At 42.0% G+C, this 13,853-nt stretch overlaps 1 protein-coding gene across 10 annotated transcripts in view, besides 1 other annotated feature; it reads left to right on the top strand.

Annotated features, from left to right (window-relative positions):
• Window positions 1–13,853, top strand: part of ERG (ETS transcription factor ERG) — a 294,523-nt gene that overhangs the window by 188,105 nt on the left and 92,565 nt on the right. The window contains exon 5 of one of the 10 annotated variants that reach the window (NR_111949.2): window positions 1,599–2,904. The exons of the other annotated variants lie outside the window; for them this stretch is intronic. The gene's annotated coding sequence lies outside the window, so the exon portion shown is untranslated. Of the gene's footprint in view, window positions 1–1,598; window positions 2,905–13,853 lie in introns of those variants that run through there. 10 annotated transcript variants of the gene reach the window in all.
• Window positions 1–13,853: part of a mitotic recombination region, noted in NCBI's record as "ERG recombination sub-region recombines with the TMPRSS2 recombination region. This represents the genomic range from 26 different ERG genomic breakpoints.", that runs on past both edges of the window. NCBI's record gives the evidence for it as "EXISTENCE:nucleotide sequencing assay evidence [ECO:0000219][PMID:23447416]".

The raw sequence follows: 13,853 nt of genomic DNA, 5'->3' as shown, positions 1-13,853 counted from the left end.
CCAAACCACGTCTTTCAAAAAAAATTTTCCCTCTCTCAATTATTTTCTCTGAGATTACAAAGGATATCTTCTCCTAGGATTTGTAAATGCATCTTAATTTTTGATGCTCCCAGATTTGAGTCAATTTCCCCTACGTGAAGTGAGGATTAAGTTTGAATCATTATTATTTCACCACTCTCTGGTATCTAAAATAATTATTTTTTTCTTATTTAAAATTGTCTTTAAAAAACAGCTTTGTATATATATATATATGTATATATATAATTGAATGCAAGGTCATATTAAGATTTAAAACCATGGGCTCAGTTTCTGAAAGAGCAATGAAAAGCTGGACAAGATAAAGGAAAGAATTCACTAAAGACAGAGGATCCCACGGAAGCTTCGCCTGCCTAGGCAGAGTGTGGGTAATATCCAGATGAGGCTGAAGTGATGTGAGTCAAATTTGGGAATTTATTTGACCTGGCTGAGCTCCTGTGCCCTTTTGACGTGTCTCTAAGCCTTTTTTTTTTTTTTTTTTTTGAGCGCATCCTCCATTTCATTTTGAAGTATGTATTTGTAGACGGTTTTATGCTGTGAAAATGAAAACTTGCTACACCTCAGAACTACGTCTCAGAAGGCAGCGGACTGGTCTTGCAGGTCCCGGAAGTTCTGCCCCGCAGTGCCTGCTGCCTGCCTCATGCCGGGTCTGCAGGCGGGGAGCCGAGGTCAGCCGAGGAGCCAAGCTCAAGGGCCGAGATGGGCTGCAAAACTCATTTCCTCCAGGCCCTGCTGGGGCTCCTTGAAATGGAAAAATAAAAAAGTCAGGCCCAGCATGCACCAAGACAGGGCAGACAAACGACAAGACTGCAGGTCTGAGCTCCAAGCGCACGAATTGCCCACGTGCAGCCATTTTCTGCTTTGAGCGTCATGGAAAAGAGAAACTTAGTAGCTGAGACACGTTTCTTCCCCTTCTCCTGTGATTTGGGAATGCCCTTTTCCAAACGTTCATTTTCTTTTTTCTCCCTCCTGACTCTCAGGGCTTCATGTTCCTTATCGTAGAGTGTAGCTGCCCTGTGGAGGCCTGCGCAATGTGATGAGCTCAGCGGGGGTAACCAATATTGCCACCTCACGTGGGAGCCTCACCACTCTTAGGACGTGTTTTCAGGGGAGAGTTAGAGTTTTAGAAGTTACAAATACCACACTCGCAAGCAAACTTTGGGGACACAACCTCTGTCTTTATCTCTAAACTGGTGATCCTAAAATATGTCCCGTATACTATGTGGAGTGGCATGGAGGAGCAAATGAGACGGTAATTGAAGGGTGTTTATTAAATTATAAAGTGCCCAGCGTATAATCCCGTCATTGACTTTACATAATGGCTAGTGTAACACCCATTGCATAGAGTGCTGGCATGCAGTATTTTCTATGAGTGACTTAAGGTGGCATACAATAATAGTGCACCGTTTCATGCCTTCCTTCCTTCCTTCCTTTCTTTCATTCTTTCTTTCTTTCTTTCTACAATGATTTTACATCTGGTATGTGCCAGGAGTTGTTCTAGGTTCTGGGAAAACAGTCTCTGCCCTCCTGGGTTTTACATTCTGGTGTATCTTTTGTTTCAGGTAATACTCAAATCAACAAATGCCCGCATTCAGGCTCATCATACACGCTATACGATCAAATGAAGCAGCATATGGAATAGAGATCAACAGGGGAGGGGGAAGCTTTTGGAGGGAGGATCCAGTGATCTCATAAAGATCTTGTCTGAGCCTGTTAGTTCTGAGGTGTGTTTTGGACATTGAAAAACCTGAAAGTAATTAACCTTCCCAATCTAAACCGTATTTTCCACAAATAGGTTTGTTGGATACTAGTATTTTCACGTGTAATTAGAAAAGGAATTACTTTCCATTATTAACAAATAGATGTGACTTTGACTCATGTTCATTTTTTTTGGCCACAAATTCTCAGACTTTTGATCTTAATGGTCAAGTGCAGGTAAGAGGAAATGAAACAAAATTAAGCAATGATTTGAATACATTTTCTCCCTTGTAGAAGACTAATTATAGTTTGGTCATTGAGTAATTTTCTCAGCTGCTTAGGATCTTTAATTAGGTTTGATATTCACTATGAATGTGTGGCAGGGTTTCTTGGGAAAGTAGAGACGGGATAAAACATAAATGATTTATGTAACTGGATATGTCCCAGAGTGAATGAGACTTTGGTCTCAAGAACTGTTCCAGTGGTTTGTCGTTCTTTGATGAGCTCCGTAAGTGTTGCTCTTCTCAACAGAAGGTTGAATTTTAGGTGAACAGCCTTTCCTGATTGTGTAGATCTGGACCACAGTTTGAAGGTGCCCCTCCCTCTCCCTCTGATTGCCAGAGAACCCCTGCATTATCACAGCAACCCAAGTCACCCCACGTATTCCCAAACACCCATCTGCTCAGGACAGAAGAGGCATTGCCTCTAGTTGAGAACCAAGAAGTGGTCATTTCCTTAAAAGCTTTGTCTTGTCTTATTTTAATATTTAAATCAAATGACAGAACTGTTTATCTATTTTTATCACTAAACTCCATAGTCCAATTTTCGTCTTCATACAAATTAACATGTTTTTACAAAATCTCTAATCTTATGCACTGCTCACTGGCAACCTCTGTGGTGAACTAAACCGTAATGAATAATAGGCCAGAGAGCCAATGCAGCCTAGGTTGCCTAGAGGACAGAGAAACCCAGTGGCAATTTCTGCAGCTTTGCCAACAGCCCTGAGTCACCTCGACCCTCCCCTGGCTCCTGGTCCAGTCTGATGAAACAGTTTACAAGATGTCTTCCAGGTTAGCTTTTCTTGTTAGTATCTGCTTTCAACTCAAAATGCACACACTCAATTAAATCTTCTACTTCTGTATGACAATGTTAATAGACTCTTGGAAAAAATAAATGAAACAGAATTTAATGGTGCCAAAGTTGATTATACTTTTAGTTTTCCATGGTCGGAAAGCTGGGTCAATTTTATTTGGTTCCTGGTCCAGGACTTCGCCTGTGAAGCAGTTTGACAAATGTAATTATAAAATGTAAATATGGAAGAAAAGAGATACCAGTGCAGAGTGAACTAGACTTTACTCATTTCTGTGGCCCCTCTGCTATCCACTGTGTAGATGGTCAATATGTATTTGGTAAGGTAAATGCAATTATGACAGAAAAAGCAGCACATGGAATCTTTACAAGTAAATAATTTTTACTAGCTTAACAGAAGTATTTTGAAAAGAGAAAAATCTTACGACTTAGCTTGGCAGATTAGACAAAGCTAGGATCAGCATATAAGATCCCTGATATTCCTTTCTTTCTGCCGTTTATTCATCACCTTCCCCCAAATGAGTTAGGTCATCTTTTTGAACTTTAATTCAATTAACTCCAGATAATTATAACAATAATAATAATAATAATAATAATAGAAAACACTCATAGAGTGCTTATTATATGCTAGACATTGTATTAAGTGTTTTGCTTAATACAATTGGGACAGAGAAGACAGGTTCCTGCAATCATTATAGCCATTTCACAGATGAGGAAACTGAAGGACACAGAGGTTAAGTAACTAGATGTGTATCCATTCAGCAGCTGTGCAGTGGGTTCCGGAGATACAGAAATGAATCAGATACATCCCTGCCCTCCAGGAGCTTACAGTTTAATGGCCTGAGGTAGATGCATAAACCATAGGAGTACATAGCTGCATATACAAACTGCAGACATCTGTTTGCAATATAGATTATACAATTAAGAAGACAAATTGCTGGGGAAATCGTTGTAATAAATATGGCAAGTGTTAATACCCATAATTTATGCAGATCATGTTACAACTGAATGAGATCACATGTGTAAACATATTCTGTGAGCTGTAAACAGGAGGGAATGTAAAAGGTTATAATGACTACTCCAACACAGCTTTATTAACATAGACAATAAACCTGTGAATTTGTTACTTTTCCAAGTAACAGCAAGACTTGTTTAAGAGCTGCCTAGAAGTTCTGGGTTTTTTGTTTTTTTACTTCTCCATGTATTTGATAGTAAAAAATGAAAGATAATTTATTATATCATAAAATGTGTTTGTTACAAATTAATATTGCCTGAAAGGAAAGAAGGAGAATAGCCCAAAGCAGTTAATACAATGATTCCGCAGGAATCAAGGTGCAGCTAATTATATTTATATGTACTCATCGATTTTTCTAAGAAAGTAGGATATTCCAAAGCACTAGAGCCCAGCCCATGTGATGGTGTTCGTGAGCATTTGTGGCAGAGTTTCTGTGAAGTTTGCATCCAAACAGATGGGAATTTTTCAGGTAATGGCATACAAGTAACAGGTAGGTAGACTACTCATGTCTTGTAAGAGGCGTTTAAATTTTATCACGGGGAGAGATAGACTAGTCAGTCACTCAGTGTTTGCTAAGTGCGTTAATGAGTCACAGATGGATAGACATGGCATTAAAAACAAGCATGCCCAGAGTTCTGAGGATGAGGCTGGACTTTAGCATAAGTTGCTTGGATTCTCTGACTGAAACCATTCTTCTTAGAAGCCCTTCTATAATGTAAATAGATAAGGGGACCCCCAGTGGCATGTCAAGGCCATCAGGGGTCTCGGGGGCTATGGTTTTTTTTTGGACAAAGGGCTAGAGTTCTGGTCTTGAAGCCACATTTTCTTTTTTTTTTTTCTTTTTTTTTTTTTTTTTTTGAGACAGAGTCTGGCTGTCTCCCAGGCTGGAGTGCAGTGGCGCGATCTTGGTTCACTGCAAGCTCCGCCTCCCGGGTTCACGCTATTCTCCTACCTCAGCCTCCCTAGTAGCTGGGACTACAGGCGCCCACCACCACGCCCGGCTAATTTTTTGTATTTTTAGTGGAGACAGGGTTTCACCGTGTTAGCCAAGATAGTCTCGATCTCCTGACCTCGTGATCCGCCTGCCTCGGCCTCCCAAAGTGCTGGGATTACAGGCGTGAGCCACCGCACCCGGCAGAAGCCACATTTTCATAGTGAGCATGGTCTTTTCACCGACATGGCAGGTTTGTTGGGGTGGCTTGATGAGGTATATGGTGAAGGCTCCCCTGGCATTCCAGTTGCCAGAGGGGACTTTAGAATGTTCAATTCTTTCCTCTGCTGTCACATGGGTTTTAGCATCATCAACTGTGGTGAATGGAGCATCCAGATCTTCCAATTCATCCCATGATTCTTGTCAAGGAAAAAAATCTTTAGGATTTGAGGCCAGCACTATGGGAAATTTGAAAAGCTTTGCTCCTTTCAAGTTTAATTTTTGCTTTCAGAAAACAAATAAGTTTACAGTATGCATTCCATGTGAACTCCAATTTCCCTCTCTATATTCAGAGAAATACATATCTATTTTCTATTGCACAGAGCTACGGAATAGTTTACCAGGCCTGGTAGCAGCCCAACAGGAGAGAGAAAGGAGTGAGACAGGCTGTGGCAGCTGGGAGATAAGTGCAATTGATGAGCTGACCTGCCGGGTGGGGAGGAAGGTGCCGACCTATAGGAACCACAGTCTCATTCCACCTAAGGGCTTTCTCTGGCTCTCCACCACAGCCCTTTCACTTGAAGCACTAACACGTCACCTTGTGGACTAAGAGGAGTTTTCACCTTTTCTCCTTTTCTGCACCCAGCTTCAATCATTGGTTGATGACCAGTGAAATGTTTTAAGAAGGCAGGAAGCTGGAGGGAGAAAGACAAAGGCTTACATATCTCCCAGAATGGGTAACAGGCTACAGCATGCATGGCCATGAGTTGGATGTGCACATGACCTGTGTACATAAATGACACCCTCATGCACACATGCCGTAAGTGTGCATATACATTTTGTTAGGTCAATTTCTACATCATATTCCAGAAAGTCACATAATCAGTTTTCTTTTTTGGTATTCACAATTCACTTGGAATTCACCAATTTATTATGTGACTTGAATATGTATGGCCTTTCTGCTGAGTGGATCCTGAAATACAAATACTTACTGTTACTGGAAGCCCCAAAGTCAAGATGCAAATTAATAGATTTCTATATGGCCTCAGATCTGAGTCCTCTGAAACTGGCGATTTAACAAGAGCACATGTACAGTTACAGAACCTCCGCGGGTGTGTCTTTCAGGGTTCCTGTTTCTTATTTCCATGTCTCTGTACCCAACACACTTCCTCCTGACCCTTCTTTCTCTCCTCCTCCTCCACACCCGCAGAAGCACCTAGCCCCACCACACATAACTTGCTAGTATAATGCATTTGTTCTTGGAAAATGTGTGTTTTTGCACACTTTGGTTTCCACCTGCTTTTTTGGGAAGATGTACTATATGATGCATAAAAGATCCGGAGCTAGCTAGGAGGAGGGAGGTTTGTTTGAGGCAACAGTGCAAGAATATCAGGTCATTCTTTCAATTGCACACTTCAGAGTATGGATACTTCCCTTGAAACATTTGCAGCACAAGACTTTTGCATTGACAAGCCTCTTGCTTTTGAATTTGAGCTGTCAAATGTTGTTTCTGCTTTCATTTGTTGGATGTTTCTGCTTGAACTACAAGGTAGGACCTCATATAGATAAAAAACCAAGTCTTTAACCCATGACTTGAGGGCCGAGATTGGATTCTGATTCTCAGCACATCCAAACATGTCTTGAATTTGTAGCCACTCCTTGCCAAATTAACTACCTCTGTGACTTTAAGAGTAGCTAATAAGAGTAACAAGCTCTAGTCCCTCTTTGCAGGATGTAAGGGTTTCTAGGGGCCAGAACATGTTGGGCTTCTTACGCCAGGTGAAAGATGTTGGATTTCATTTTGGGGAAAAGTGTAACATGGTAGGATTATCATTCCAGTAGAGAAACCCTGTTTTTCAGTTTGTATATGACCTCACATGACTTCACAGTTTGGGGCTCCCACCCTGTTGTAAGTTGTCCACATTTGGAAGAAACTGTAGTTCCAACCAACTGAATCAATTATCTGTAAAGTTGGTTCATGCAAATCAGTGCATACATGAGACTGTGCCTGTTTGGTTTGTCATAACTATTTTATCATATGAAGAACTGACCATCCATAAGAATAATTTCCCAGACCTGTCATTCTTTAAATTCCTTTTATTTTTGCTTCCAACATAGACCCCCCCTCACTTTGGGAGTATATCTTCCAGGATCATGAGCCCACGAGAGGCCATCTTAGTACACTGTGTAGGAATTAAACCACTCCTGCAAATGTGAAACAAACTGTACTTTTCAATTAATTAAAATCATATTCCAGTGTGCCTACCTAAATAAGAGTGATATTGTTTTGAGCAAGATGAGATGATTTATATATATATAAATCATATATACATCATATATATCATACATATCTATATCACACACACACACACACACACACACACACACACCCCAGACCATCAGACAGCCTAAACTGTTTTAATGTATGGACCATTATTGTAGTGATGGATTTTCTTCTTGGTTCTAGTTTCATTCATACAAGAATGCTGATACATGGACAACAACAAGACAAGAATATAACTATTTGCAGCCTATTATGTATTATTTCAATATAACATTAAAGTCTCTAGTACTGGGGACAAATTTAAACGTAGCTTTAAAATTATATAAATAATAATGAGCATTTATCACTAGTCCCCAGAAATACAAAGTCTAGCACTCATCTCTCCAACACCGTGCTAACTGCAGACAGTTTCACACCCAGCATCAGAATCCCACAGGAGTCCTTAGCTCCTCCCCATTCCAGCCCAGGCACCTCCTCTGAAAGGCACAAGGCGGTCAGGGAGGGCCATCTCATCTCCTTATTTCAATCTCTAGTTTTGATGGGGATGGGATCAAGGAGGATGAGATATTCACAGTGACATATTCAGTATCGGAGAACCAAAGTAAAGTGGTTAGGGCCGTCATTGCACGTGTGGCAAAACTTATAAATTAATTGGAATACTTCATTTTTTAAAAAATAGACTTTATTTCTCAGAGCAATTTTAGTACGCAGCAAACCCGAGAGGAAGATAGAGTGATTTCCATACACCTGCTGCCCCTACACTTGCGTAGCCTTGCCCACATTATCAACATTCCCCATCGGAGTGCATTTGCTACAGTTGATGAACCTATATTGACAGGTCATTATCACCCAGTGCCTGTAGTTTACATTAGCGTTCATTTGTGGTGCTGGACATTCTGTGGGTTTGGACAAATGTATATTTACATGTATCCAACATTATAGGATTATACGGAATAGTTTCACTGCCCTAAAAACCCTCAGTGCTCCACCTGTTCACCCCTCCCTCCCTCTAATCTTTGGCAAACACTGATCTTTCAGTATCTCTGTAGTCTTGCCTTTTCCAGAATGTCATATAATTGGAATCATATAATATGTAGTCTTTTCAGATCGGCTTTTCTCTTGGGATGCTTAATTTTTCAAAAAGTCTCTGTGCCCATCTCTTTTCATGGGGAACTTGATTGGCACATTTAAAGTACAATTCAACTAACAAAAACCTACTTACATAGAACACTTCAGAAACACAATTACAGACAGCAGGGTACACTTGTAACATCCCACAGGCAAAAACAGGACAAATTATTTGGAGTCTAGCCTCTTACAGAGGAAGAATCCATGTTGCACTGGGGCTTGCATTCCTTGGAGGTGGAGAAGATCATTCCTAGGACTAGGGAGCAAATTGAGATTTTAAAACATGAACCCAGAACCAACTCAAATGCTCATCAACAATAGACTGGATAAAGAAAATGTGGCACATATACACCATGGAATACCATGCAGCCATAAAAAAGGATGAGTTCATGTCCTTTGCAGGGACATGGATGATGCTGGAAACCATCATTCTCAGCAAACTAACACAGGAACAGAAAACCAAACACCACATGTTCTCACTAATAAGTGGGAGATGATCAAGAGAATACATGGACACAAGGAGGGGAACATCACACACCAGGGCCTCTCGGGGGGTAGGAGGGTAGGTGAGGGATAGCATTAGGAGAAATACCTAATGTAGATGATGGGTTGATGGGTGCAGCAAACTACCATGGCACGTATATAACTATGTAACAAACCTGCATGTTCTGCACATGTACCCCAGAACTTAAAGTATATGAAAAATAGCATTATCTAAAAATGAACATATCCTGTAGAATAAAGGCAACTTCAAAGAATTCGTCGATATGATAGGTTAGCAGTTGGAATTTAGACAATAAAATAAATGCAGTTAATTATGAATTGTATTAATGAAATGAAATTGCTTTCCACAGTGTGTCTGATGTTTTAGGACTTCTTGTCCACAAATAGTTTGAAGCACTGCTGTTACTCTCTGGGTACTAGGCAGAAAAGCCTTTGGGACTACGGATGGATGTGTGAGGCTTTTATTTCTGGGCTTTGGAAGTAAGAAATATGACCTATTCCCCAGGAAAAACACGGAAACCAGAAGGCATGGTAATTCAGGGTTCAACCACAAGAAAACAAAAAGTTCAGTTACACATAATTACACTTTTCTAAGATAGAATCCAATAGTAACATATTAACAAATAGTTGTTTAATATTTAATTTGGTTTGCCAAGGGAATTCTTAATAAGTTCTGAATTATTTCATAAAAAAAAAACATGAACCCATCCCCAGTGCTCATCCTAGTGTTCGGAGTTTTTACCATTTCTGAATCACACCTTGGAATCAATGGAGAAAATCCTGCTTTGATGCACCCTTGCTGCTTAGACGACAGGACTTCTTAACCCATGACCCCAGTAGCATCATAGATAAAAAGGGTGTGTGAAAAAGGAGTGAGGGGATACGGGAAGTGGGAATACAAAGCCTGGATTACGTGCAGACTGAAAGTCAAACTCTGGACGGGGCATCCCAGGCCTGTGGAAACCAGAACCAGGCTATGGATCCAATGGGAATTTCCTCAGTTTCAGCTTCCCCCCAACCAGCACACATACCCTGGGCCCTCCCCAGCTCACGAGGGGTGGCCCCACTTCTATGCTTTTCCTTGCAGTTTCTCCATCTGGAAATGCTCCCCACCATTTTGATTTACCCAGTACACCCCATTCTTCAAGGCTCAGGCCAGTGCACACCAGTTCCTTTAATCCCTCCTTCCTTCTTCTGTCATCCAGTCGACACACTTAGCATGACATTTGGCACCTGCATACCAGGAGCTCATGCAACAAATACGCACTGCATGTGCATGATATGTGGACACTTACAGGCTCTGAAAAAGAGAAAAAATAGAAAAAAGTCTCTGCCCTCATGGAGCCAGTATTCCCCCAGCCCTGACGAATCTCCTGCTCCTTTCTCCCAGTGTATTTCTTCCCCTCTGTTAAAGTAGTTCCTAGAGTCAACCACATGCAGAATGAGCCTTCACCACCATCAGGCTCCTGCTCTGCACATGATGGATGCCCAGCCACTTGATCTTAGTATTAAATGCCTTTGAGACTCTGTTTTATAATAAAATGAGACACCCAAGCACAGACCCCAGCAAGCAGGTAAACAGGGAGGACCTTTCAGTGTCCAAGTATGGGATACACATTTAAAAATTAAAATAATCTGGTTATATTTAAAACAAGTGGCCCTTAACATTAATTGGGGAGTGCCACTTGCCAATCCAGAGATGCACCAGGTGTACCAAGATGGACACACTGGGAGATAGGCAGGGAGTCTGTGCCCGGGCTCTGCAGTCCCTCAGCCCCAGGGACCAGTGTCTCAAGCTGCCTCTGATCCAGAAAAGCACAGTTAGCTTGGCAACAGGTTGGTGGTATGCAGTTGCTGCTCATTTCCTGGTCCGCTTTACAGGCCTGCCCCTTGATTTTGCCATAAGACAGGCCACTTGCAAGAAGGTTCATCTAGAAGCAGATGTGTGCTGTGTAGCTGATGGGTGGGGGTCATGATGGGCAGCCTGCTTCTTTAGTAGACTGTGTGCAGTGTTAGAGAGCCCTGGGGCAGCACTCGTCAGTTAGGATGCACAAAAATGCCAACCCCCGACTCTCAGTTTTTTAAGTTGCATAAATTCCAAATTTAACATATCACCATGTGCAGTCTTGGAAGGCTCAATATTGGCTTTAAAAAATTATTTTCCTAAGGACTCTCTGTTGTCAACTTGAGGAAATGGCTAACAAGCTTCCTTTTCTATGACACTTAGCTACTGAAAATATGTTCTTCATAAAGTGTCTTATTACTGTCATACTGTGGGTTACTTCAGTAAGTACAGACTGTGTCCTAGCCAAGCTTAAAACCTCGACGGCAGTGATTCTTAATCTTTTGGTCTCAGGACCCCTTTACGTTCTTAAGATTGGTTGAGGATTCTTAAAAAAAAATTGTGTATATGCATTATATCTATTGGTAGAAACAAAAACAGAAATTTTGAAACATTTACTTATAAATTCATTTAAAAATAACAATAACAAGGCCAGGTGCAGTGGCTCATGACTGTAATCCCAGCACTTTGGGAGGCCAAAGCAGGCAGATCACCTGAGGTCAGGAGTTCAAGACCAGCCTAGCCAATATCATGAAACCCTGTTTCTACTAAAAATACAAAAAAATTAGCCAGGCGTGGTGGCGGGTACCTGTAGTCCCAGCTACTCAGGAGGCTGAGGCAGGAGAAGGCATGAACCCAGGAGGCAGAGTTTGCAGTGAGCCAAGATCGCGCCACTGCATTCCAGCCTGGGCAACAGGGCGAGACTCCGTCTCAAAAAAGAAAAAGAAAAAGAAAAAAAAATTAGCCAGGCATGGTGGGACACGCCTGTAATCCCAGCTATTCAGGAGGCTGAGGCAGGAGAATCACTTGAACCCAGGAGGCGGAGGTTGCAGTGAGCCGAGATCACACCATTGCATTCCAGCCTGGGTGACAAGAGTGAAACTTCATCTCAAAAAATAAAAATAAATAAATAAACTCATTGCATGTTAACACAAATGAGATATTTTTATGAAAAGTAACTCTATTTTCCAAGAAAATGTTAATGAGAAGTGGCATTGTTTTGCATTTTTTGCAATCTCTTTAATGTCTGGGCTAATTGGAGGCAGCTGGATTCTCAGATCTGCTTATGCCTGCCCTTAGAGGGGTCTGGGGACCCCAGGGGGTTCCTGGACAACACTTTGAGAATGACTGACCTACAGAGCTCCGGAGAATCACTGACCTACAGAGCATAGTGTGGTACCTGGCACTGTGCTAGGCAGGGAGATACAGCAGTGAAGAAGAGGGACACATTCTCTGCCTTCCTGGAGGATGGTATGGGTTGAATAGTGTTCCCTGAGTTATGTTGAAGTCCTAACCCCCAGGACCTCAGAGTGGGACCTTATTTGGAGGTAGGGCCTTTACAGAGGTAATCCAATTAAAATGAGGCCCTTAGGGTGGTCCTTAATTCAGTGGGACTGATGTCCTTATAAAAAGAGGTAATTTGGACTCAGAAACAGGCATGCATAGAGGGAGGATGATATGAAGAGACAGGGAGAAGATGACCATCCACAAGCTAAGGAGGGAGTCCTCAGGAGGAATCAACCCCGCTGCTACTTTGCTCTCTGACTTCCAGCTTCCAGAGCCATGAGAGAATAAATGTCTGTTGCTTAAGCCCCTCAGTCCGTGGTACATTGTCTTGGCAACCCTAGCAAATGAATACACAGACTATGTATCGAATATTGAAATTGGGTTTTAAGGCAGTAATAAGGCCCATGCTGCTTCCTTGAGGAAAATTCAGCCGCAAAAGAGGATTCACTGCTTATTAATATGGAGACACGTTCTACCAGATAGAGCTCTGGGAATCCAGGTTCTCCATAGGCAAGCACAGCAGTGAACAGTTTTTCCAAACGTCTCCTTCCTAAGCAGAAAGGAAGTGACACCATTGTCTGCCATTTGCCATTCAGAGCTCGTTAAAACCTACAGCCTCACACCCATCACCGGTCCACAGGTAAACAGAGATTTCAGGGCAGGGGAATACTTTGGTGCCGTTATTCCTTTCAGTTGCCACAAGTCAGTTTCCCTAAAGGCTGCCCTATTAGTGGATGGGTGGGTGGGAGCCTCAGTGAGGTATTTCCTGTGTGAGTCAAAGCCTTTCAAAATGGCCGTGACCCCTTGCAGACTCTGAATGAAAAGTACAGATTCTCAGTTCCCAGAGTTTCTGCATGTGATGATGAATGGAAGTTCCCGTTGCATGTGGGACAAAGGATGGCTGTAACATTTTATTAGGTGTGGCTTTTGGTGTACACATGGCATATGCAATATATGCATTCTCATCACATTTAGTTTTGAAAATAATAAAACTTTAAAGATAGAAAGAATTTTCTTTGCAGAACCCTTATGAGATGGAAAATATTAGTGCAACACAGAAGAAGACAATTCCCGGGCTTTTAGCCAAGACGGCTAGAGAGACTCCACTTCTCTCTGAGTCAACACCCAGGTTCCTGCCATGGCCTGCAAGGCTCTACCACCCCCAGCCTTTCCTGGTTCACCTCCTGGTTCTTTCTTTCGCTCCTTTCCAGTAACCCCTCCTCCCTGGCTGTTCTTGGTCCCATTGTTCCTCGTGCAGCCCCCGCAGTCCACTCTGGCCTTGTTCTAGCTGTTGCCAAGGCTGGAAGGCCTATTCTTCATGAATGCATGGGGGCTCACACCCTCCCCTCCTTCGCGTTTTCTCAGGACCACCCTGGCCACTCTAAATGAAAAGCAGCAGTTTACCTCTCTTTTCCTGAGTCTCTAGTTCTGCCTTCTGTTTCTTCATACTTATCACTTACCACCTTCTAACCCTGAGATCAGGCTTGAAAAACAAGGTTATAAATTTACCCTATCAATTATTGGTTGATTAATTGATTTTCAAAAATTATCTGTGGCTTGTAGTGCTAGAATACAAGCCTTATGCAGATAGGTGTCTTTG

Source organism: Homo sapiens, chromosome 21 (assembly GCF_000001405.40).
Source record: "Homo sapiens chromosome 21, GRCh38.p14 Primary Assembly".
NCBI classification, from domain to species: domain Eukaryota; kingdom Metazoa; phylum Chordata; class Mammalia; order Primates; family Hominidae; genus Homo; species Homo sapiens.
Note: the sequence above shows the minus strand (reverse complement) of the source record. Positions and strands in the feature narration are given on the sequence as shown.